The 26113-nt window shown below is 49.6% G+C and overlaps 1 protein-coding gene and 1 long non-coding RNA gene across 25 annotated transcripts in view, besides 3 other annotated features; one reads left to right on the top strand and one right to left on the bottom strand.

Annotated features, from left to right (window-relative positions):
* The window catches only part of PPARA (peroxisome proliferator activated receptor alpha), a 93231-nt gene extending 71127 nt beyond the window's left edge, over window positions 1–22104 (bottom strand). For 17 of the 24 annotated variants that reach the window (XM_047441420.1, XM_047441421.1, XM_047441423.1 and 14 more), the window contains exons 1-2: window positions 21978–22104; window positions 20660–20742 (exon numbers count right to left, since the gene is read on the bottom strand). The gene's annotated coding sequence lies outside the window, so the exon portion shown is untranslated. Of the gene's footprint in view, window positions 1–1137; window positions 1347–20659; window positions 20743–21452; window positions 21843–21977 lie in introns of those variants that run through there. The other 7 variants (NM_001362873.3, NM_001393943.1, NM_001393945.1 and 4 more) reach the window with 2 other exon arrangements.
* LOC105373074 (uncharacterized) lies at window positions 402–11588 on the top strand. Its single transcript, XR_938315.3, has 2 exons — window positions 402–528; window positions 11308–11588. It is a non-coding gene; the product is annotated as an uncharacterized LOC105373074 (long non-coding RNA).
* Window positions 21364–21553: an enhancer, noted in NCBI's record as "active region_19232". NCBI's record gives its function as "activates an Ori minimal core promoter by ATAC-STARR-seq in GM12878 lymphoblastoid cells {active_cell/tissue: GM12878}" and the evidence as "EXISTENCE:reporter gene assay evidence [ECO:0000049][PMID:35858748]".
* Window positions 21764–21883: a silencer, noted in NCBI's record as "silent region_13904". NCBI's record gives its function as "represses an Ori minimal core promoter by ATAC-STARR-seq in GM12878 lymphoblastoid cells {active_cell/tissue: GM12878}" and the evidence as "EXISTENCE:reporter gene assay evidence [ECO:0000049][PMID:35858748]".
* Window positions 22034–22643: a silencer, noted in NCBI's record as "silent region_13903". NCBI's record gives its function as "represses an Ori minimal core promoter by ATAC-STARR-seq in GM12878 lymphoblastoid cells {active_cell/tissue: GM12878}" and the evidence as "EXISTENCE:reporter gene assay evidence [ECO:0000049][PMID:35858748]".

Here is a 26113-nt window from a genome sequence, read left to right as displayed (position 1 = left end):
TTTTTCTTTTTTGAGATGGGGCCTTGCTCTCTCACCGAGGCTGCAATGCAGTGGCACGATCTCAGCTCACAGCAACATCCACCTCCCAGGTTCAAGTGATTCTCCTGTCTCAGCCTCCTGAGTAGCTGGAACTATAGTCACACGCCACCATGCCTGGCTAATTTTTGCATTTTCAGTTTCACCATGTTGGCTAGGCTGGTCTCCAACTCCTGACTTCAGGTGATCCACCTACCTCGGCCTCCCAAAATGCTGGGATTACAGGCGTGAGCCACTGCCCGGCCCAATGCTGTTTTTTTTTTTTTTTTTTTTTTAATTACTTGCATTCATCCTGTGGTTTCCATCCCAGCTCATGGCATCCTGCCCAGGGTATCACTAACTCCCTCCTCACTTCCTGCCACAGCCTCTTCCCTCTCCCTTTTCTAAGGTTCTCACACACGGCTGCCAGGTTCCTCACCTGAAGGAGAACCCTGATCACCTCCTGGGGATGGGCTCTTCTCGAGCATGGCTTCCAAGTACCCAGATTCACAGGTAGGGAAACCGACCAGGGACAGGTATCACCCAAGGCGACACGGCTGCTCAGTGGCTGGGCTGGAGCTAAGGTCAAGGTCTTCCTACACCCAACGCGGTGGAGCCTTTCCCACTTAGCCACCTTGCTTGGCCGGGCCCCACCCCTTCAGGCCCCTCTGCAAACCTCAGAACCACCTATAGCTTCTGCCCGGGCCCTGCAAGCTGCCCAAGGGGGCTTTTTAGCAGCTAGATCAGAGCATATCCAGTCCCCTAAGAAGCCCTCGCTGGTCCCCATCCCATGGCCTTTCACACACAACACAAACCAGAGTCCTCACAACGGCCCCGACCTCCACGAGACTGGTCCTGCCTCTCCCCTGGGACCTCCTGACCTCTTTCTCCTCCTCCTCCTCTCCAGGACACTGCTCGAGTCACACTTCCTGGCTGTTCCTCTCATGAGCCCACCCTGCTGCCCTCCCTGTCAGGATGCTCCCATCCTGATGTCTGCTCCACCTGCTCTCACCTGCTTCCAGCCCTTCCTCAGATGCTAGGTCCTGGTCACCACCTCAGGGAAGCCAAACTGGACCAGCTTCCTGGTGCCCTCACCCCTTCTGGCACCCTTGACCCACTCACCTGTCCTGGGCTTGCTCCTCCTACTGTACCTGAAGGCGGCTAAGTCACCAGGCCAGCTGCTCCATCACTCCACTCATGACCTGTCTGTCCCTGCCAGAGGATCAGCTCTCATAGACGAGGGTGTCATGGGTTTTGTTCACTTACGTATCTTAGAACAATGCCTGGTACAGAGAAGGAGCTCAAATATCTGGTGGAGTTTGAACTAGAATGCACGAATCTTCTCTTCATGTCCCCTAGCAAGCCTTGAACTCTGGCCAAAATAGATGACTCGGCATCTGCCAGCCCCACCCCAGGCTTCCTGGACTCTGTACTTTTTTTTTTTCTTTTTTTATGAGACAGAGTCTTGCTCTGTTGCCCAGGCTGGAGTGCAGTGGCGCAGTCTTGGCTCACTGCGATCTCTGCCTCCTGGGCTCAAGCAATTCTCCTGCCTCAGCCTCCCAAGTAGCTGGGATTACAGGTACCTGCCATTGTGCCTGGCTAATTTTTGTATTTTTAGTAGAGAGAGGGTTTTGCCATGTTGACCAGGCTGGTCTCGAACTCCTGACCTCAGGTGATCTGCTGTCTCGGCCTCCCAAAGTGCTGGGATTACAGGCGTGAACCACTGCACCCAGCCCTGGCCTCTGTACTTTATCCTACTTCTTTCTGCCAGGAATGCATCCCATTCTACACATTTGGGGGGCAGTACAGATGCCTTTCCTCTCCAAAGTGCTCAGGATCCCTCCAGGGGAAGGACTTTGTCCCTCCTCTGAATCACGACAACTCTCATTGTGGGTATTGATGTATGCCTTTTCTGCTCAACTGACCTGTAACTCTTGGAGGAAGAATTCTTGTCTGTCATCTTCCTCTCCTACACCAGGCAGACGTTCAATAAAAATTTACAGAATGAGTCTGACATTGGTGCTAAATTCTGAACATTGTTCCCTGTCTTACAAAAACTCAAATCAGGACCGGTGCAGTGGCTCACACCTGTAATCCCAGCACTTTGGGAGGCTGAGACAGGCTGATCCCTTGAGTCCAGGAGTTTGAGACCAGCCTGGGTGATATGACAAAACCCCGTCCCTACAAAAAAAAAAAAAAAAAAAAAAAAAAATTAGCTGGGTGTGGTGGTACACACCTGTGGTCCCAGCTACTTAGGAGGCTGAGGTGGGTGGATCACTTGAGGCCAGGAGTGAGCCAAGATCACACCACTGCACTCCAGCCTGGGTGACAGAGTAAGACCGTGTCTCAACAAAACAAAACAAACAACTCCCACCCCCCTGCCACCAAAAACACACTTACATCATTTTAAGTAATGGACCTATGAAAAAGAGCCTGTATACAGTACAAGTATTTAAAGGACAAGACTGGTTGCAGAACAAATGTTTTTCTAAAAAAAAAAAACAAAGATGAATGCAACTTAAAGTGACAAGAATGCTAATGGAACAGAAGCCAGCTGTTTAAGAGGAAAACTGAATTTTCTTGTTAAAAAGTAAAGTTCCTGAAGTGCATCCCATGACAGCCTGGGAGGGAGTGCATTGAACAGTTTTCAGGCCATTTGAACTGTCTATAGTCAGCTCTGTAAAGTCCACATCATTCAAGTAAACGTAGTCAGGATGCCTACATGTGCTTGGTGTCAGATGTCAGTATCCCTTGTGTGACACATGAGGCTTTTCTTAAGATGACTGACACCTTCCTAATACTGAGCTGTCCCTTCCATGAACATAGTATATCCATCTATTTATTTGGGCTATATTTAAGCTCTCTTAATAACATAATCAGTTTTCTGAGTAGAGATCTTATATATCTTTTTCAGATTTATTCCTAGATATAGATACACTATAAAAGTAACTTTTAATTAATAAACTTTCTTATTTAGAGAAGTTTTGGGCTTACAGAAAAATTGAGTGGAAAGTACAGAGAGGTCTCATATACCACCTCACTCCCACCACAGTTTCCCTGTTATTAACATCTTGCATTGGTGGCCGGGCGTGATGGCTCATGCCTGTAATCCCAGCACTTTGGGAGGCCGAGGCGGGCAGATCACGACAGCAGGAGATCAAGACCATCCTGGCTAGCATGGTGAAACCCCGTCTCTACTAAAAATACAAAAAATTAGCCGGGCGTGGTGGCGGGCGCCTGTAGTCCCAGCTACTCCGGAGGCTGAAGCAGGAGATTGGCGTGAACCCGGGAGGCGGAGCTTGCAGTGAGCCGAGATTGCGCCACTGCACCCCCTCCGTCACAAAACAAACAAACAACAAACAAACATCTTGCATTGGTGAGGTACATTTGTTGCCACTGATGAGCCAATGTTGACATATTATTGCTAACTGAAGCCCACAGTTTTCATTTTCACTCTTTGTGTTGTACATTTTATGGGTATTGACAAATGCCTAATAACATGTATTCATCGTTACGGTACCATACAGAATAGTTTCACTGCCCTAAACATGCCCTGTGTTCCACCTATTCATTCCTCTTTCCCTCCCCATGAGCCCCTGGCAACCACTGGCGCATCTTTTTACTGTCTTCATAGTTTTGCCTTTCCCATAATGTGTAGCCTTGGAAGCAGACAGTATATAGCTTTTTCACTTTGAGTTCTTTCAGGTATACAATATTTTCGATAATAATGTAAGTGGTATTATTTGCCAAAATGTTTTCCAAAGTGGCTATCATTTTACATTCCCATCAGCAGTGTATGAGAGTTCTTATTCCACATTCTTACGCATACTTGGTCAGACTGCTTAATTACAGCCACTCTTGTGGGTGTGTAGTGATATCTTTCTACGAAGAGAGATGTCTATGAACTTGCATTTCCCTAGTGACTAATGAGGGAAAGGCACATGAACATCTTTTCATGTGCTTGCTTACCATCCATTCAAATGACATGCCCATTGTTGAAGAGTTAGTTCATCTTTCACCCATTTTTAATTGGGTTGTTTGACATCTTATTGAATTACAATAGTTCTTTATATAATCCATATCCAAGTCCTTTGTCAGATATATGTTTTGTAAATATTTTCTCTAAGTCTATGGCTTGACTTTTCATTTTATTAAGTGTTTTCTGATGAGTAAAAGTTTCTAATTTTGAGGATGACTAATTTATTAATTTTTTCTTTTATAGTTTATGCTTTCTTCTTTTTTTTTTTTTTTTTTTTTTTTTTTGAGATGGAGTCTCGCTCTGTTGTCCAGGCTGGAGTGCAGTGGTACGATCTTGGCTCACTGCAAGCTCCGCCTCCCAGGTTCACGCCATTCTCCTGCCTCAGCCTCCCGAGTAGCTAGGACTACAGGCGCCTACCACCACGTCCGGCTAATTTTTTGTATTTTTAGTAGAGATGGGGTTTCACCGTGTTAGCCAGGATGGTCTTCATCTCCTGCCCTTGTGATCCACCTGCTTCAGCCTCCCAAAGTGCTGGGATTACAGGCGTGAGCCACTGCGCCCGGTCGCTTTCTTCTTTAAGAGACTGAGTCTTAGTCTTACTCTGTGGCCCAGGCTGGAGTGCAGTGGCATGGTCATAATTCACTGCAAGCTTCAACTCCTGGGCTCAAGTGATCCTCCTGCCTCAGCTTCGTGAGTAGCTAGGACTACAGACATGTGCCACTGTGCCTGGCACAGGCTTTTTATTTTTTTTTTTTGGTAAAGACCCACTCTTGTTATGTTGCCCAGGCTGCTCTCGGACTCCTGGCCTCAAGCTATCCTCTCACCTCGGTCCCCCAAAGCATTGGAATGACAGGTGTAAGCCAGCATACCTGGCCTAGTTAATGCTTTTTAAATCATGTTCAAGGAATCTTTGCCAAACCCCAAATCACTAGAATTTTCTCATATGTTTTCTTCTGAAGGTTTTATAGTTTTAACTCTTTTTTTAACACACGGTCTCTCTGTCACCCAGTCTGGAGTGCAGTGGTGCAATCATGGCTCACTGCAACCTTGACCTCTCTGGGCTCAGGTGATCCTCCCACCTCAGACTACTGTGCAGCTGGGACTACAGGTGAGTGTCATCATGCTCAACTAATTTTTTCATTTTTTTGTAGAGACGGTGTTTCGCTATGTTGCCCAGGATGGTCTTGTAACTCCTGGGGCCAAGTGATCCACCCGCCTTGGCCTCTCAAAGTGCAAGATGACAGGCATGAGCCACTGTACCTGGATGGTTTTAACTCTTACAATTAGATCTATGACCCATTTCAATAATAATTATATGACATAACAGTATCATATAATATATATTACATAATATAATATGTAACATGATATATACTATTATTACATAATAGTATAATATAATGATAATAATTATGAGTTTGTAGTGCTGTGAGCTGAAGGTTGAGGTTCTTTTGCATATGGCTATCCAGTTGTTCCGGTATCATTTGTTGAAAAGATTATCTTTTCCCCACTTAAATGACTTGGCACTTTGCTGAAAATCAATTGACCATATATGTGTGGATCTATTTCTGGACTTGCTATTCTGTTCCATTCATCTAATGGTCTATTTTCATATCAATACCATACTGTCTTGATTACTGTAGCTTTATAATAATTCTTGAAATCATGTAGTCTAAGTCCTTCAACTGTGTTGTTCTTTTTCAAAGTTATTTTAGCAACTCTGGGTTCCTTGCATTTCCATATAAACTTTAGAATCAGGTTATCAAATTCTACAAGTAGGCATGCTGAGGTCTGATTCCGATTGCTTTGAATCTGTAGATCATTTTGGGAAAAGTCGCCATCCTAAGATACTGAGTCTTCTGATTCAAGAGCATGTTATAACTTGCCATTTATTTAGGTCTTTTAAAATTTCTCTCAGCAGTGTTTTGTAGATTACAGTGTACAGGCCTCGCGCATTTTATCTCTGAGCATTTCATAATTTTCATGCTTGATTACTGTTTTTTGTTTTTTTTTTTTTGAGATGGTAGTCTTGCTCTGTCACCCAGGCTAGAGTGCAGTGGCATGATCTCGGCTCACTGCAAGCTCTGCCTCCTGGGTTCAAGCAATTCTCCTGCCTCAGCCTCCCCAGTAACTGGGATTACAGGCGCCTGCCACCACATCCAGCTAATTTTTGTATTTTTAGTAGAGATGGGGTTTCACCATGTTGGCCAGGCTGGTCTCAAACTCCTGACCCCAAATGATCCACCTGCCTCAGCCTCCCAAAGTGCTGGGATTACAGGCATGAGCCACCACACCTGGCCTGATGTATCCACTTTTACAAAATGCCATGTGGGTTTATCACTGAGAGACAAAGAGTAGACAAAACCATATGCTTTGCAGTCTGTGCATGAAACTGACCGACAGATGCTCAGGGACCAATCACAGACTGACTTTGAGAGAAGTGACGCAATTGGCCAGTGATCATCATGCACATCTGTTATCTATACTGTGATTTGTAGGCTGGAGAACTGGCGGCAGAGCTTGTACTTTATACAGCACTCACAGTGTATATACCATGGGAGCTGGGATCTGATCTGTATTGTTGGGAGACCACTATAATTTAACTAAGCAGTGATAATTAATATTTTATTTTTAAAAATAGAGATGGGGTTCTATGTTGCCCAGGCCGGTCTCCAACTCCCAGACTCAAGCAATTCACCCGCCTTGGCCTCCCAAAGCGCTGGGATTACATGCATGAGCCACTGCAGCTGGCCACTGACTGAAATTTATGCATAAGGGAACTGTGCAAAGGGAGGAAAGCCTGCATTTGAAAAATTGTCCTTAAAAATAATTAGAGGCCTAGGATGAGGCTCTGTTCCTCCAGAAGGATATTCACTTGCTTCTGCCAGGCATTTGAGGTCCTTGCAATCTGAGATCACCTTAATCCAGTCTCAAGGACTGGGCGTAGCTAGAACTGGACTTCAGTCCTCGATTACGCTGATCCGTTTCCAGGTCACCTGTACTCCTGGGATGGAGCTTTTTTGGGTCCCAATCCAAAGTTTGGGATGTTTACCAGGGTCTTCCCTTCTAGCCCCTCAAAAGTGCCACTCAGGCTCTTAACTGCTTCTTTCATAAATTGGCCAACACCCCAGGGACACAATGGCCCCAAACATCAAGTTTCCATCTTCTCCAGACCATGGCCTGGCAGTTCTTCACTATCTTGTAAACTCTCCAATTCCTCCACATATGTTTAAAGATTCTGTCCACCTTTGCCAGTTAACTTCCAAACTACTGAGCCACTGTCAGAAATGCAGTTCCCTGGCTGGGCGCGGTGGCTCACACCTGTAATCCCAGCACTTTGGGAGGCCAAGGGCAGGCGGATCACCTGCGGTCAGGAGTTTGAGGCCAGCCTGGCTGACATGGCCAAATCCCATCTCTACTAAAAATACAAAAATTAGCCAGGTGTGGTGGCAGGCGCCTGTAGTCCCAGCTCCTCGGGAGGCTGATATGGGAGAATCACTTATACCCCGGAGGCAGAGGTTGCAGTGAGCCGAGATCATGGCATTGCACTCTAGCCTGGGCAACAGAGCGAAACTCTGTCTCAAATAAATAAATAAACAAATGAAAATAAATAAAAATGTAAAAAAAGAAATGGAGTTCCCCAACTTAACGTTCTCAAACCATCCCAAATTTATCAGCCCTACGTTTTGAAATAGCTACTCGTCTTATTATTTTTTTACTTCCATAGCTACAAAGAAGTAATTCTGTAATCTTCAATAAAATCCATAGACTGAATGAAATAGGAAAACAATTACATTTCTACCCTTAATGTTTTCCTCATATTCAGGCATTACCCAAATAATAACTTTCTCATTAAAACACTAATAAAATTTTCAAACAGAAAACTGTCACCTTTTAATAAGCACAAGGGTGTAGATTTAAGTGGAGAGGAAGGCTTCATTAAATACCTCCTATGCTGGGCCACCTTCTAGCAGCTGAGGGTGCAGCCATGGAGAAAACAGAGAAACACCTCTGTCGTCATGGAGCTGCCATTCTAGGGAGGGGAGACAGGTGGGAAACAGACAAATCAAGAAAGCATGTACTGGCCGGGTGCAGTGGCTCATGCCTGTAATCCCAGCACTTTGGGAGGCCGAGGCTGGCGGATCACCTGAGGTCAGGAGTTCAAGACCAGCTTGGCCAACATAGCGAAAACCTGTCTCTACTAAAAATACAAAAATTAGCAAGGCATGGTGGTGGACACCTGTAATCTCAGCTACTCAGGAGGCTGAGGCAGTAGAATGGCTTGAACCCTGGAAGCGGAGGTTGCAGTGAGCTGAGATCGTGCCATTGCACTCCAGCCTGGGCAACAAGAGTGAAACTCTGTCTCAAAAAAAAAAAAAATTACTGTATGTAAATTATATCTTAATAAACCCGACTTTATTTATTTTGAGGCAGAATCTCACTCTTGTCACCCAGGCTGGAGTGGCGCGATCTCGGCTCACTGCAGCCTCCCTAGTTCAAGGGTTTCTCCTGCCTCAGCCTCCTGAGTAGCTGGGATTACAGGCGCCCACCACCACGCCCAGGTAATTTTTTTTGTAGTTTTAGTAGAGACAAGGTTTCACCATGTTGGCCAGGCTGGTCTTGAACTCCTGACCTCATGTGATCCGCCCGCCTCAGCCTCCCAAAGTGCTGGGATTACAAGCGTGAGCCACCGCACTCGGTCAACCTGACTTTAAAAAACACCAATACAAACCCTCAAACCCACCTCCATGGCCTGGTTTCTTGGGAATTAATAGAGAGTGGGGGGTCCGTCGTGGAAGGCTGGCGGGACACATCCTTGTCACTCCCATGGGGGAAAGCAGTGTGGGCGACTTCTCCAAGGACATCAGGGAGCCAGCCCTGCTTTCACTTGATGCAGCGGGGCCCAGGAGCCCCGGGCAGGATGTGGCTGTCTCCCTCCCCACCGCCCTGGCTGGGCAAAGCATGACGTGGCTGCCCTGGAAGGCACAGACCACTCATGTCACGTCGTCCTGGGAAAGGGGCTTCGAGAAAGGCCTGCATTTGTCTAGGGAATCATCTACCTCTCATTTCTATCAAACCAAATGGAGTCAAGCTCGCCACAGCCAGGAGCCTGCTCTTCCCGCTTATGTGACTGTGGTGAAATCGTGAGCATGAGGGCTCATTTGCTTTTCAGGCTAGAACTATCAGTGACGGAGCAAAGGCTGAAGCCACAACTAAGCAGGCAGTGTATCTTCAATATAGGTCATTAGATGTATGATTAGAGTTAATAATCACCTAGGATTTAAATTCTGCTAACCTATGTGGGTCACAAGGAGTTTAACTTGAGCGCTTAATGCCTTTAAGATCATAATCAGGAGAACTAAAATGAGCTCTTGAGTTTCTTGGATAATTTGTATTCACTCTTTCCTCCCCCTGGACTTGGTTCTTTAGTGAAAGGAAATTCCGAAGTTTAAAGACAACGACATCTGGAGCCGCACATTCCGTTCACTGGCAGGTGCTGCACACACGCCCCTGCGACCTCCGTGACCCTCTGTCCCCGCTCTTTCCCCTCTGCAGGCTGCTCTCAGTTTCCCTCCGTGCCTCTCCTTGAAGCTGGGAGTCTGCCAGTTATGCGATGCAGTGGTTGGTAGTGGCAGGGAATCATGCCTGCTGTTTTCCACAGCAGGACAGTGCCTGGCACGCAGTACGTGCTCAGTAAATATTTGCTGAATAAATACATGAACTGAGGAATGAATGACTGACATATGCCCCTAATAGCTGCTCAAGTGAAGGCAGAATTCATCAAATCAGAGTGACTCAAATGCCATAGGTTATCTGAAGGACAAAACTCCTGCCTCTAGTTTGGGGGAGCAGCAAGGAAGGCTTCAGGAAGGAGGTGGCATTTAAAACTTGAGGTATCTCAACCGGTGGGTACCCGGCAGGAGCCACAGGCTCCCAGAGCCAGTCCTGAAGCACCTACCAGCAAGAGGCTCCGGGTTCAACCATGAGTGATGAGCCAAGGACTCTGGCCTCACGGGGTCTCAGGGAGAGCCACTGTCACCAAGCCATCACTTGAATAAACACTGCCTGAGTGCACGAAAGGAAAAGCACCAGGTGTTACAAGTACCTGCATCAGCATACAACCCCAGCAGGTGGTTCAGGGAGCCTTCCCTAAGAGTGAGTTTAAGCTGAGGTCTCAAAGGTAGAGGTCACAGGGGTGCGGCGGGGTATGAGGGTAAGGGAGTGTGTCTCCGGCACGCCCAGTGCACGAGAAGAACCAGAAGGGGTTTGTGTAGACAGCGTGTCGGTCAGTCCCTGGAATGTCAGGGCCATGCCCTCCTATCAACCTCTCATCCCATAAACATTGGATGGATGGGACAACATTAAGATGGGAGAGGCAATGATAAGCAAGGAAGCACCTACCAAGCTCACACTACCTGCCAGGTGCAGCAATCCAGAGAAACCCTAGCATGCACCCCTCTTGTAGCTGAGGGAAACTGAGCCACAGGCCAGCTGAAAAATCTGTCTGCATCTGAGAGCTGCTAAGTGGTGGGTGAGGACCCTACACCTTGTCCTGCCTTTGATGTCCCCCACCCAGCCCTAGCAGGAGGCTGGCAACTGAGACCGAAAAGGGTCGCCAGGGTGAGGGGAGGGGAAAACGCAGGACAGCTCAGAATCAGACACACTGAGGGCGAGGGCCTCCGGGAGGGCCCAGGTGACATCTGGAAGGCGGGTGGGTGACAGGTTTCAAGCTCACAAAGGTGATGGTGACGTACAGGGGGCCTCGTGGAGCCAGAGGGGGTGGGGGCATCCAGAAAAGCGCAGGGACCAAACGCTAGCGCGGAAAAGGGAACGCCACTGAGGGCTCTGAGGAAGTCGCACACACACAGTCGGAAAGTCCACATCTGCTCACCTGGTCCTTTGGTGATTTAACTTCACGTGTATAAAAATGATACCTGGTGGATGGATGTGTTACACCTTAGGCTAGAATCTCATCTTTTTCTCTCTCAGAAGAAATTAATTCCTTTTCTGAGTTCTAATTTTTATTTATTTATTTATTTACTTATTATTTTTGAGATGGAGTCTCGCTGTTGCCAGGCTGGAGTGCAGTGGCACAATCTTGGTTCACTGCAGCCTCCGCCTCCCGGGTTCAAGTGATTCTCCTGCCTCAGCCTCCCGAGTAGCTGGGACTACAGCCATACCATGCCCAGCTAAATTTTGTATTTTTAGTAGAGACGGGGTTTCACCATGTTGGCCAGGCTGGTCTCGATCTCTTGACCTCGTGATCCACTCACCTGAATTCTAATTTTTAATTGTTCCTTCTTGTCTTTCAGAGGCTTCCTCCTTGAAGAGTCTACAACAGACCTGATACCATAATTGGGCACACATCCTTCTGAAATTCCTTCTAGAAAATGATTTAATCTACTAAGAAAGCCCACATTTGAATTCATTCATTCCAAAAAGAGTCTCCATCCACTTCCTAGGTTTTGAGCTCTTTTTATGAGTCCATGGAAGCTGCCGTGGTTTTCTCTGAGTCCATGGCCATATTTTCCCTCTGGGTTCTTGTTTCTTTTAAGTCTTATACCTCTATTAGTATTAAAGATCATCAGCTGTGCTTGAGTGTGGTTAAATATTCACTTTCACTTAGACTTCTGACCTAGACACTAACAGCCAACCTTGCTAGATTCATCTAAGTAAAGGGAATGCAACAGGAAAAAAAGCCAATAATTTTTGGTTTCCAGAGTGAAAGAAAAATACTGGGCTGGACATCATGAATCACACCTGTAATCCCAACACTTTGGGAGGCCAAGGCGGACAGATCACTTGAGCCCAGGAGTTTGAGACTAGCTGAACATGGCTAAACCCCATCTCTACAAAAAACACAAAATCTAGTTGGGTGTGGTGGTGTGCACCTGTAGTCCCAGCTGCTCAGGAGGCTGAGGAGGGAGGATTGCTTGAGCCAGAGAGGTGGAGGTTGCAGTGAGCTGAGATCACACCACTGCACTCCAGCCTGGTGACAGAGTGAGATCCTGTCAAGAAATAAATAAACAAACAATATTGGGCCAGGTGCGGTGGCTCACGCCTGTAATCCCAGCACTTTGGGAGGCTGCAGAGGGCGGATCATGAGGCCGGGAGTTTGAGACCAGCCTGGCCAACGTGGTGAAACCCCATCTCTACTAAAAATACAACAATTTAGCCAGGCATGGTGGCGCGTGCCTGTAGTACCAGCTATGTAGGAGGCTGAGGCAGGAGAATCGCTTGAACCCAGGAGGCAGAGATTGCAGTGAGCTGAGATCGCACCACTGCACTCCGGCCTGGGTGACAGAGCGAGACTCCATCTCAAAAACAAACAAACGAACACCAATATAGATTTCTTATATTGGCATCCTGCTAAATACTCTTCACATTCTCTGTTCCCACGTGAAGCCTGGGACTTTGAAGGCATTGCTACTGCTCTGAATTGAAAGCTTCCACTTACAGCTTTCTGCTGGAAAGATCCCCGCCAGCTGCCACCCTTAGCTGGGAATGGGAGCCTGCTCCTCTGGGTTCAGTGCACCAGCCCTGGATCCGCACTTCCCAGCCCTTCGCTGGCGGTTCAAGACTGTGGTTTTCAGGCTGCTGCAGTGGTGGTCGGCGTCTTCCAGTCACAGCTTGTGATCGGAATCTCTGTCCCTACACTACTTCTGGGTGTACACACCTTCTTCCCTGGGTCTGGAAACCTCTCTCTTGGCTTCGGAGGAATTCACTAGGCACCCACAACCCACCCTCAGTGTCATTAGTCATCACTTGTCACGCAAGTTCTTTGAACGCTGTTAGTGCCAGCTTTTTCTCTCAAGGATCCTTGGCTTCAAACACATTTAAATACCCTCTCCCCTTCATGCCTCTCATTTTCCAAAGCCTTCTTCCCAGGATAGCCCTCTCCTTTGAGTCCCACCTTCAAGATCTTCGCATAATTGAACTTAAAAAATTCCCTCTTTCAGAACACCTTGCTGAATAGACTAGACTAGGCTTCTTTTTATGATTTGAGTATTACAACAATTGAGTGCCTTCCTTTCTGGAAAAGGCTAACAAAGCGAGTTTTTCTAAGGAAAGAAGAGAATGAAAATCGCGTTCTAAACTTTTGTGCACTTCTGATTGCTTGCTTGTGAATCACAGGGAAGCCGTGCAGAGATGGGAAGCCCAACCTCCCTTGCCTGTATCTGGTGACAGGTTCTGTAACAGTTGTCAAAGTGGGGGGAAAAAAACGACAATCGTACAACTCAAGCAAAATACGCTGCTTCACAAATTGTAAAGTCCAAGGACACTGTCAACAGGTCAAATACTGCCCTGCTTGTTTCTATTACAAAAAACTTTTACATACTAAGAGATGATTCCAATTTAAAGCACATTTCTAACTTCTCTGAGCATTTTTTTCTTTAAACATCATTTGTGTTAATTTCATCCCCAATGCACAGATAGAACAGAAGCCAGGTGTGGTGGCTCATGCCTGTAATCCCAGTACTTAGGGTGGCTGAGGCGGGCAGATCACTTCAGGTCAGGAGTTTGAGACCCAGCCTGGCCAACATGGTGAAAGCCCGTCTCCACTAAAAAATACAAAAATTAGCCGGGCGTGGTGGCACATGCCTACAATCCCAGCTTCTCAGGAGGCTGAGGTAGGAGAACCACTGGAACCCCGGAGGCAGAGGTTGCAGTGAGCCGAGATCACGCCAGTGCACTCCAGCCTGGGCAGCAGAGCGAGACTCCAGCCTCAACACCCCCGACAAAAAAAAGAGACACTATCCCAGTTGTCAAGCTGCCTCATAAAATGAGCTAAAATGAGACTGCAGTCTAGAATTTATCAAATTTACTCATAATCCTAGGCAGAGGGCAATATGTTCCTCATGTTAGCAGCCCACTCAATGTTATTTTGTTCCATGTGGAAAACTGCCTGAAAATGCTTCAAAAAATTCATCCCACTTAAATATCCCTATTACCATTTCTTCCATAGATAACAGAAGAAAACTTGTTTCAGATCATCAAGATTTGCATGTCACTTGATTGGCAATCTGTATTTTACAAGCCATATTGCTGAATTATAAACACGCATTTAAATACTCATGTAAAGCTGACCACGAACTTCTTAGAAAGGGACATATCCACGTGTCAACCTCTAAATAACTGGGTCTCTTTTACTGAAACTTGGCAATTTGTCACCTTGGCGTGGTTATCACATAACTTCAGACGTATTCAGTTACAAACAAATGCAAAAAAACTTGGGGCCTCACTCTTTTTTTTTCTGAGATGTGCAGTGGTGCGATCTCAGCTCACTGCAACCTCCGACTCCTGGGTTCAAGCAATTTTCCTGCCTCAGCCTCCTGAGTAGCTGGGATTACAGGCACCTGATACCAAGCCTGGCTAATTTTTGTACATTTAGTAGAGACAGGGTTTCACCATGATGGCCAGGCTGGTCTCAAACTCCTGACCTTGTGATCTGCCCACCTCGGCCTCCCAAAGTGCTGGGATTACAGGTGTGAGCCTCCACGCCTGGCCTCGCTCACTCTTAAAAATGAAAAATGAAAAATGAAAGGGGGTGGGGGAACTTCAATATTCTGCTTTACTATAGCCTCATCTCAAACCATTCCTATGAAGCTCATAATCTTGGAAGCCATTAGTCCTTCTGTATTTGCCTTCCTAACTCTTACTATTCAAAATGATGCTCTTTCGAAAGTTGGCTTGTGGTCTATAAGTTAAAATATAAAGCAAGTAAATCTGAATAGAAATCTTCACTCCTCTTTATCTGCAAATCTCTTAAAATGGAGCAAAATAAAAGCATTCCGATGAGTCCTGCCTCCTGGAACACAGACGATATTTCATCTGAGTTTTCTCCAATTTCTCCTGGGAATATTTTAATGTGACAGTCAGAGCAGGAGAAGGACCCTCACCTTGTTAAATATCAGTGCTGCCCACCTCACTTCCCTTTCACCATACCCCTTCCCTATGAAGTCAGTTGTGTTGAATTTAAATCCATGATCTTGCAGAAAGAAAGAGGATTTTATTTAAATAGATCCTCAGGTCATCTTATAAAAATTCTATTTAATCCATAATATACCCCAAATCTAGTGATGATTATGAAGGGGACCCTTTCAGCGGCAGCCCTCACCTTCCTAACACCGCTGTAATGGGAGGTACATATTGGACATCTGGAGGAAACACCTGCTCCCTACAGAAGGAAGAAGAGCTCTCTCTCAGTCTAGGTGTGGGGGAAGCTGCAGAGGTCTGGGACAATTTCGCTGCGGTGGGATGGAGCGGGCCATCATCCGTAGGTGCCGCTGTCTGCACTCCTGTTTAGGTGCCTCCCCCTTCAGCCAGCTCCCACCTACATCTCAGTACTGTGGTGACCACACAGGCCCATCAATACATTCTTCTTGAATTAAATTCTATTAATCAGGTACTTATTCAATGAACATTTACAAGTACCTACTCAGTTTACACGGCTAGCGGGGCAGAAATAAATAAGACATCCTCTCTGCCCTCAAGGAGTTAGACTCAGCGAGGACAGTCAGACTAACAGAAACAGGGGTGCAGGCAGCACCGGGTCCTGGCTTGACGGAACTGTGTCCAGGCATGGGGAGATTCACTGGGCCTGCATTTCAGCAGATCCCTCTTCAAGATGAAGAGGCCTGGTCCAGGTATGCCATGGAGTTGGAGTAAGAGCAAACACAAGGTATAGCCCTGCCAAAACCTGAGGTCACAATCACCTTCAAAACACACAGGAGGCCGGGTGTGGTGGCTCACGCCTGTAATCCTAAGACTTTGGGAGGCTGAAGCAGGTGGATCACCTGAGGTCAGAAGTTCAAAACCAGCCTGGCCAACATGGTGAAACTCCATCTCTACTAAAAATACAAAAATTAGCTGGGCGTGGTGGCGGGTGCCTGTAGTCCCAGCTACTTAGGAGGCTGAGGTGGGAGAATTGCTTGAACCCGGGAGGCGGAGGTTGCAGTGAGCCAAGATTGTGCCACTGCACTGCAGCCTGGGTGACAGAGTGAGACTCTGTCTCAAAAACAAAAACAAACACATAGGAACCACTTGTAACAACTTTATTGTACTGGTGGAGAAATCTCACTTTTATATTCCAAAATGAAAACCAGTTTTGGTGTATAAGGGGTACGGTAGCATGTTGCTTTCTGAAAGCCTTTGAAAAATCCTAAAATGGCCACAGTGAAAACAACACAGGTATCAGACCTGGCTAAGTGAGAAAGGCAGGAGCCAGCGGTATGTCCTCCTTCTTAAGACACCTCCTGAGATGGGCAGTTTTTTAAGCTGCCACTTCGAGCTTCACAGCCCTTCAGAGAGGTGGTATGGAGAGGAACTTCATTTTCTGATGAGAAAGCAGCAGTTTAAAGAAGAGAACAAAGGTCTCCAGGCCTGGCAGGCAGCAGCTAAGGGGCTAGAATCCAAATCTCATGATTAATGACCTAATACCTTTTCCACTATATCAAGCTGCTTTGCAGATACACAGCAATATTTCCAGATTTCCAACCACTTTTACCATATGTGAGCCTCAAAACCAACGCAGCTCAGCTGCAAAGATAACCATGATAGGTTGAGACCTGGCAAGGAGTAAGTTCTTTTCTTTTCAAATGCATAAACTTTTAAGACACCGTAATATCACTATTAAAAGATGCTAATTAAATATCCTAAAAGCAAAGAATGCACACACCTCTGAGTAACGAGCAAATCCGGTCCTGTCTGGAAAATATGCCTGCATGGTGCTCCTTTCCAAAGAAGCTCAGTGCATGCAAGCGGCAGAAATACTTGGAAAAAGAAGCACATTCTTTTAAACATGGGCCGCTGGAACAGCTAAGGCTTTCTCCTATTTGATTCTTACCTTAAACCCATCTTATCACCAAGTTGAAAATGTAAATTCTGTGCCCAAGTTTCCCTAACCACATGGCCTTAAAGGTGATCTAGCTTATTCTGGGCAATTCATAAGGCTGAAATGACAGACATAGCACATTTCTACCCCATAATCAGAAACTATACCTTTTTAAAAAGTATCTACAGCTGGGCGCAGTGGCTCACACCTGTAATCCCAGCACTTTGGGAGGCCGAGGCGGGTGGATCACCTGAGATCAGGAGTTCGAGACCAGCCTGGCCAACATGGCAAAACCCCGTCTCTACTAAAAATACAAAAAATAGCCAGGTGTGGTGGTGGGCACCTGTAATCCCAGCTACTGGGGAGACTGAGGCAGGAGAATCGCTTGAACCCAGGAGGCGGAGGTTGCAGTGAGCTGAGATTGCGCCACTGCACGCCAGTCTGGGCAACAAGAGCTAAACTCCGTCTCAAAAAAAGAAAAGAAAAGAAAAATGGACTCTATGCCAGGCTACCAAAAACAAATAAAAACAGAGACTCTCAAGTTCCAAAAAAGCAGAAATTAGACAGGCCACAACCTCTAACTGCAATGTGACAAAATTAGTACAAACATTAAAGAAAAACACTGACTACTTGGAAGTAAAGACACTCATCCTATTTGCCATTAAAAATATATCCATCCACACACAGAAACCAATAGAGCAAAAAAAGAGAAGAAAAATTGGCATGTTTCAAATATATTTATAATAAGCAAATACATATTTTAATTAATGTGGTTTTTTTTTTTTTTTTTTTTTTTTTTTTTTTTTTTTTTTAAAGAAAGACCACTTATGCCGGGTGCAGTGGTTCATGGCTTAGTCCCAGCACTATGGGAGGCCGAGGCAGGAGGATGGCTTGAGCCCAGGAGTTTGAGACAGGTCTGAACAACATAGCAAGACCCCGTCTCTGCAAAAAATACAAAAATGAGTCAGGCCTGGTGGCGTGTGCCTGTGGTCCTAGCTGCTTGGGAGGCTGAGGTGGGAGGATCACCTGAGCCCAGGGAGGTCGAGGCTGCAATAGGCCGTGATCATGCAGCTGTGCTCTAGCCTAGGTGACACAGTGAGACCCTGTCTCAAAAATAAATAAATAAATAAATAAAATTAAAAACACTGCTTAAAGATGATTACATAAATATTTATTTATTTTTTGAGACCAGGTCTCACTCTGTCACCCAGGCTGGAGTGTAGTGGTGCCATCTCAGTCACTGCAACCTCCACTTCTCAGGCTCAAGGGATCCTCCCACCTCAGCCTCCCAAGTAGATGGGGCCACAGGCACACGCCACTATACCTGGCTAATTTTTGTATTTTTAGTAGATGCAGGGTTTCGCCAGGTTGCCCAGGCTGGTCTTGAAGCCCTGGGCTCAAGCAATCCATCCCCTTCGGCCTCACAAAGTGCTGAAACCATAGGCGTGAGCCACTGCGCCCAGGCTACTTAAATATTTATTTAAAAAACAGACTCTCCAAAACAGCATGCAAGAAAAAGAACACTGGCCACCAATTACTAAAGAGTAAGATGTCCCGGCAAAAATAGGTTCTTCATCTTTTACCATGATGAGGATTATCTTTAAGTTTCTTTTTTATATTCTGGTATGAAAATCAGTTTCATGGATTCATGCTTGTCTTGTTCAGCACTGCGGACAGTAGCCCACAGCAGCTACTCAGTCAATATTTATAGAATGACTGTATTAAATATATACACATAAAGAGATTGGCTAAATATTATTGTATCTAAACACAATGGGATATTATATAGACATTTCAAATGATGCAGAAATGTTTTTCACATAGGAAGATTTTTCATAACCTACTCGATAAAGCAAGTTACAAAATAGTGTATAAAGAAGACACATTTTCTCCTTCTTCTCTGTCTAGTTCTGTCTCTCTCATATACAATTTTTTTTTTTTGGAAACGGAGTCTTGCTCTGTCACCCAGGCTGGGGTGCTGTGGTGCCATCTCAGCTCACTGCAACCTCCACCTCCCGGGTTCAAGAGATTCTCCTGCTTCAGCCTCCTGAGTAGCTGGGACCATAGGCACCCGCCACCATGCCCAGCTAATTTTTGTATTTTTAGTAGAGACAGGGTTTCACCATATTGGCCAGGCTGGTCTCAAACTCCTGATCTTGTCATCTGCCCACCTCAGCCTCCCAAAGATTACAGGTGTGAGCCACCGCACCCGGCTGATACACAATTTTTAAAACTCTGTTCATAAGTTTGACAAACAGGAGCTAATGAAAACCACTGCAGTATTCGATGATTATGACACGTCTCCTACTTTACGTTTAAGATGTCGGAAAAGGGCCCGGCGCGGTGGCTCGCACCTGTAACCTCAGCCCTTTGGGAGGCCAAGGCAGGCGGTTCACCTGAGGTCAGGAGTTTGAGACCAGCCCAGCCAACATGGTGAAACCCACCTCTACTAAAAATACAAAAATTAGCCGGGTGTGGTGGTGAGTGCCTGTAATCCCAGCTACTCGGGAGGCTGAGGCAGGAGTATTGTTCGAATCCGTGAGGTGGACGTTGCGGTGAGCCAAGATCATGCCACTGCACTCCAGCCTGGGTGACAAGAGCAAAACTCTGTCACAAAAAAAAAAAAAAAAAAAAAAAGGATGTGGGAAAAGAAAGAAAAAACATTTTTTTCTAATGTCAATTAGTTAATTAATTTTATTTTATTTATTTATTTTTGAGACGGAGTCTCGCCCTGGCGCCCAGGCTGCAGTGCAGTGGCACAATCTCAGTTCACTAAAACCTTCACCTCCCAGGCTCAAGCGATTCTCCTGCCTCAGTTTCTTGAGTAGCTGGGATTACAGATGTCCGCCACCATGCCCAGGCAATATTTCTATTTTTTTGTAGAGACAAGGTTTCACCATGTTGGCCAGGCTGGTCTCGAACTCCTGGCCTCAAGCGATCTGCCCACCCCAGCTTCCAAAGTGCTGGGATTACAGGAGTGAGCCACCGCACCCAACTTGCCAATTAGTTTACTTTTGCTTCAGAGTTGCAGAGGTCATCATCAGCCCCAGTGTCCCTGGTCTCTCATGGATGGTGACCACACAAATTTGTATCATCTGGCCCGTTTCTTCAGCCTATCCCTGGCATGTTCTGGCACGGGTCTATCTCAAGAAGCCATCTGCTTAATATTCAAATCAAAATGAAAACAGCTCAGAGACAGTACACTACTCGGTACCAGTCAGTGTGGACATCCCAAGGGTCTAGTAAGCACTCACGTTTCTCAAAGTTAATGTCATCAAGTTTTAAATTATACAAAACATGCCTGCCACGAAGCAATGAAGTTCCTAGCAAAAGTCACACAATAACTCAGAACTTCAAAGTGAATCCTAGGCCAGGCACGGTGGCTCACGTCTGTAATCCCAGCACTTTGGGAGGAACAGGTGGATCATGAGGTCAGGAGTTCAAGATCAGCCTGGCCAAGATGGTGAAACCCCGCCTCTACTAAAACTACAAAAATTAGCTGGGCATGGTGGCAGGCGCCTGTAATCCCAGCTACTCGGGAGGCTGAGGCAAGAGAATCGCTTGAACCCCAGTGGCAGAGGTTGCTGTGATCTGAGATTAGGCCACTGCACTCCAGCCTGGGCGGCAGAGCGAGACTCCGTCTCAAAAAAAAAAAAAAAAAAAAAAAATGAATCCATGCACATGTATTTTACTTTCAGTCTGAAAACGTATCTAACCTTGCATCACAAAGTAATAACCCCCAGATTGCTGGTCTGTAGTGCAACAGAAGTAAACACTGAAAACACTTAAATATTTCCATCTGGAAACAGTAAATTAAACCTTCTATTTACCTGTGGTGACAGCTTCTCAGTTCTGAGCTTGTCTTGCCACAAACTGTTGAGTCCACAGAGCAGACAGGGCCCTGAGCTTCAGCCTGGCAGTAAGAAGGTGAAGGAGGAAGTGATTACGGTTGTTCTCTGGATGCCCCCCAACTCTTCACCTTGGAAGAGGAAAGTCATGCTGACCCTGCCCCGCAACGACACGGGTGTCGCAGGGTCCTTCCCAGGAAAATCCCGTGTCCTTGCCCTGACCCAGTTCCCCAAGGCACCCTTATCCCAAGGAGGCTGGGAGAGGAGGGGCCTCCCTGGTTTCCTGGCAGGGGTCGGCTGAGGCTGACGTGGGCGTGCAGCCCCGGAGGTCCCACGAAGCCCAGGCCATTGGACAACTGTGGGTTTTTCTTGGAAAGAATCCTGACACTTGGAGCACACTTCCTCTCTTTTAACTTTTAAAAAAGACTTCAGAAAAGCACAGGCGTGCAGTTGTGCCCGGTTGGGGTGCGTGAGGGGGCAGGGCCGACCCTCCTGACTTCCACTGGCACCACCCCGCGCCCCTCCAGCTTCACCCGCACCACGCGGGCCGCGCAGCCCGGGACTCCGGAAAGACCTGGGCGCCCGACCCTCAGCGGCCCCGACCGGGAGCGACGTGGCGCGGCTTCCGCAGAGAAGCCACCCGGCCCAGCGCAGCCTGTCCGGGGTCGCCCCGCCGCGTTGGGGCACAAAGTGGGAACCGTTCCTCAAAGGTGGTCGCAGCTGGAGGAACAAACACGCGCGTCTCCGTCCGACGGCAGAAGCCGGGCGCACCCACCCAGGGTCGGTCTGTCCGGGGCCCGGGTTTCCTCGCCTCGGAGATCCCTGGAGGTCTCGGAAAGCACCTTCTGAGTCGGCGACGCCCCAGCTCCGCTGCGCCGAGGAAAGGGCAAGTCCCGATGTCCCCGCCCGTGGGCCCTCCCTCCGAGGGGACAACCCGAAGACCCAGAGTCGCTGCGGTCCCCAGACCCGACCTCCGCGCAGCGCCAAACCCCAGGGACAGCCGCGGACTCGGGTTCCGGGCAGGCCCCCAGCGCTAGGAGGGAGGCCGAGCTGGGCCCCGAGATCCCTCGCAAGAGTCCTCGGTGTGTGTCCTCGCTCCTCGCCCTCAGGTCCCCAGCCGCGCACCCCGGGCCCCCGGGTCCCCGGGACCCGGAGACCCCGAGACCCCGGGCCCCGCGCATGCGCCGCCCAGCCCCTGCCCCTCCCCCGTCCGCCGCCCTCCGGGTCCCGGGACCTGGGAAGCCCGGACCGCGGACCCCCGCGCGCGTTCCCGCCCGCCCGCCCGCCCGCCCCCGGGCACCTGGGCCGCGGTCCGCCGCCTGCCGGTCCGTGGGGCGAACGCCGAAGGAGGCGGCGCCGGGCAGGGCGCTAGCGGCCGCCTCCGCCCCCGCCGCCCGCTGCCCCCGCCGCGGGGCCGCCGCGTCCACGGCCCATGCCCGGCGCCGCCTCCGCGCGTCCGTGCCAGCCGCGCCCCCGCGACACGCACCGCCCCTCGGCCCGCCCCCTGCCCCGGTCCGCGCGAGCCAGTGTCCCGAGGCCCGACCCGGAAGCCCCGCCCGCCCCGCGCGCCCTCCGGGCCCCGGGCCTCGGCCCCGGGACACACCCCCCGGAGGGCGGCGCCCGATTGGCTGCTCGCGGTGGGCGGGGCCCCGGGAGCGCTCAGCGGCTCCCACCTAGCGCCCCGCGGCCGCTGCAGCCAAGGGAAACTGAGGCCGGAGAGGTGGAGGGACCGTCCAAGGTCACCGATGGGACACCGCTGAGCGTCAGCGCCCCTCCAGCCCGGCGCACCGGGGCGGGGCTGAATTCGAGGCGGGGACGCGCGGCCGCGGGGCGGGTGGAGGTTCCCGCCGGGCGCCCGTGCCACGCTGGCGAGCCCCTCCTGCCTCCTCGATGAGCCCGGCTCTGCTACTCTGTGCGATGAGCCGGTCTAGACCCGGGACCCGGGACCGGGTGCCCTTGAGGCTCAGAAGTGCGTAGGGTGGGAGGCGGCCCGGGAGGGACCTTGTCCCTGGAACCCCAGGATGCAAAATAAGGAGAAGGGGAAGGCGAGCTGGGAGGACAAGGAAACAGGTGGCGGGAGGTGCCAGGGCGGTGTGGTGGGCGGGGGAACGAGGAGGGTGAAGGGCAACGCGGACGGGCTCGGGGAGGCGCCGCCAGCTCCGACCCCACAACCCCACCCCTCTCCAGCGGCCCAAGAGCCATGCCCGCCCCTACTTCATGCGCTGGGGGGTGAGGGGCTGACTTTGTGCCTACGCAAGGCGCTGGGACTCTGCCAGAGCAAGGAGAGGTCGCGGCCCGGTGGCCAATGGCGAGGAGTAGGAGAGCGCCCTGCAAAGCCGCTTTGTTCGGGCCGTGACGCTCGAGCTGCCGGAGCGGAATGCACAAAGCCCCTGGGTGCCGGCACATCAGGGCTCCCCTCCTCGGGAACGCAATGTGTGCTATGCCCGCTCCACTGCCTGCCCTCCGCTGCCAGCTGTGCCTGCCACTGTGCTATTTGTGGCAGCGGGCGCCCAGGAGGACCCACTCCGGAAAGCAAACCCAGATCTCATTAGGCAGGGGAACTGGAGATCAGGCGGGAACTGGCCCTTTCACAAACTTCTCTTAAACTCACCCTTGTTGATTAGCCAGGCACCTATGGTGAACTTTGCCCCACCCTCCAGACACCCACATATCCTTCCCACTGGCACACGGCAACCTCACCTTCTCTTGCACATGTTAGCCAGCAATAGCTATCATTTATGTTGTTTCAGAGTTTATAGGGTGACCTGTACACGTAATATCCTGCATATCTCGTGGGGTGTGCAGGCAGCCACATCCAAGCTTGTCATCCTGTTGTGTTTGGTGAGGGAAGCTGACCCTGGGCTGCCCACGCAGAGCTCAGGGGCTACATCCTCATGAGGACCTCCGGGCTCAAAGACATTACCTGGCATACCCATATCCCAGACTCTCAAGGACCAGGGTCCACACAGGTGTGTGACCCAGATGCACCACCCAGGTCAACCAGGTGTTGAAAGACCTAGTGAACATTCTCATGAACAAGGACAAAGGCTATGTGGGGGTGTGCAGAGTGGTCACGTACACTCAGCAGACATAGGAAAGTGATATTCTTGGGTTTTTTGGGGCTCCCAAGGTTTTAGGGAGAGAAAACTTGTTTTTCATCCATGTGTCCCAGAAATAAGCATTTTCAATCAAATGCTGTCAGCCAGTCTCCCGCAGGCGTCCTGAGGGTAGAAGCAAGTTCAGGACTCTTCTCTTGGGAGTATCCTGGCCAGAAACAGCCCCATATCCATGCTTCCCGGGGGTGGTAGGTTTCTTCTGGGAAACCACGCTCAGATGAGAGAGATGAAGCAATTTTCTGTTGGCCACGAAGACCTTGTCACACACCCAGCATGGGAGCAACTGTCACAAAGGGCACACCCTCACCCCCATTCCCAGCTCCAGGAAGTCTCTCTTTACCTTCTTCAGTGCTGATGAAATGAGGGCCACACGACAGAACAGAAACACCGCTGGCGCAGGGACTGAGTAGAAATCTGTAACTTTGAGGACAAATCAGTGCTCCTGAAAATGTCTCTGAGCACCACCTGAGTTTCCTCTCTGGCGCCTTAGTGACTACTGGGAGCATCTGGTGCATATGGATCTTAGTTCATAGCTACCATTTATGTGGTGACAATGCTGTCTCAGGTCCCTTTTTACATTTTCTGATCCGGAAGATGTTCTGAGGGTAATTATTACTGTGCCCACATTGCAAGATGGAGACTGAGGCACAGAGAAGCCCCATCTGCACTGGGTCCCCCAGGCCAGCGGCAGGGCGCAGGACGGAAGGCAGGTCTGTAAAGCCCACGTCTGCCCTGCTGAGCTGCTCTCTCCTGCAAGTGCTGACCTGCCAGCCAGCCAGAGAAGCCGAGGCTCTCCCACAGCCTCAGGGAAAGAATTGGGAAGCTGGGAATTCAGACGGGAAGGGGTTGCTGGAGGAGGCAACCTGGAGTGATAGGGCTTGGCCGCTCAGTACAGGGCAGCAGTTAGACCCTGAGTGCTGGGAGCAGGTGATGACGGTCATCTGTGTTCAGGGACCCCAGTGCTTTCCCTGACCCTGCCAGGGTGAAGCTTCTCCTATGGGCCTGGGGTCCAGGCTGGAGTCTGTTTGCCAGCCAGGGCCTGCGAAGTTTGCTGCTGGCTTGCCCTCTGCTGATGTGCAAAGCTCTCTGTCAAGGGGGAGTGTGTGCTTCCAGGGTGTCATCCGCCAGGGCAGTGGCCTCTGAGCTCCTGGAAGCGTGCCTGCAGGTCAGGTGGTGGAAGTCCACCGGGGCAGGGGCCGTGGGCTGAGAAAGGGAGGGCTCACTGGCAGCGAGCAGGCGGCTGCTTGGCGACCCAAGGCTGGACCTCGTCGGTGAGGGCCAACCATGGGCATGTCCTTAGTTGCCATCCTGGTACTGACAGCAAAACCCCATGGGTCCAAGGTAACAAAGTATTGTCATACTAGGGGACAGAATCTACAAGAGTCCCACAAGGCAGCTGTGCTTATGCTCATCTTACAGATGAGGAACGAAGGGCCAGGAATGGCAGCATGTGGCCAAGGTCCCCGGCAGGGAGTGAGAACTCTCCCGAGTCCCAGTCCATCAGCACCTGGCCCTGGGTACCCCCGGGGTTCGGTTGTCTGTTGCAGAAGCTGTCTGTTGGCTGATACGGCAGCCTCTGGCAGACTCAGGAGCCCAGGGTCAAGGATCAGATTTCCCTGGTGGCTGCTCCTGGCCCCACAGCTCCAGGGGGGTGGCAGCAGCATGTGCAGAAGCCTGTGGCAGGAGACATTCAAGGGGAGAGAGTGTGGAGATGGCACAAAGCGGGCAGAGCTGGGCAAGGCCCTGGCCAGGCAGGTCTTGCAGCCCAGTGAGGAGTTTAACTTTGGTCCTAAGGGCTGTGGGACACCTGCCATGGAGGGTTGTCAGCAGAGGCATGACTCCATCTGATTAGCACCAAGTGCTGCATGCTACATGTTAACCAGTGGTCACAGCTGAGGTGGTGGGGAGGGGCTTAAGCTGTGCACCCATTCTAGCTTTGCAGGATCTGGAAGCTTCCGCAGGTCCAGAAACTGCTGCTGTCATGACACTGTACCCTTTGAAAATTAACCAGTCCCCAGCTTTGCAGCAGGGCCCATTCGACATGGCTCAGATGTCTGTCTCTGTAGATCTTGAGAAGAACAGGGCAGCCCACCTGCAGCTGCACTGCCTCCCTTCTTTGCCCCTCCAAAGGGACAGGTGTCCACCTCGTCACACAGGATCCAGCTCCAGGGCTAGATCATGGATGTTGTTTATCCAGTCCAGGACATGGACTGGAAGCTGCAGGACCCCTCCCTGTGTCATGCTAGGTGCCGTGGGAGTCTCACTGCAAAGTGTGATGTGTAGATAGACGGATTTTCTTTCTTTACTTTTCTTTTCTTTT

The sequence above is a fragment of the Homo sapiens genome, chromosome 22, assembly GCF_000001405.40.
Source record: "Homo sapiens chromosome 22, GRCh38.p14 Primary Assembly".
NCBI lineage: Eukaryota > Metazoa > Chordata > Mammalia > Primates > Hominidae > Homo > Homo sapiens.
The sequence above is the reverse complement of the archived record's forward strand: the minus strand, read 5'-3'. Positions and strand labels throughout refer to the sequence as shown.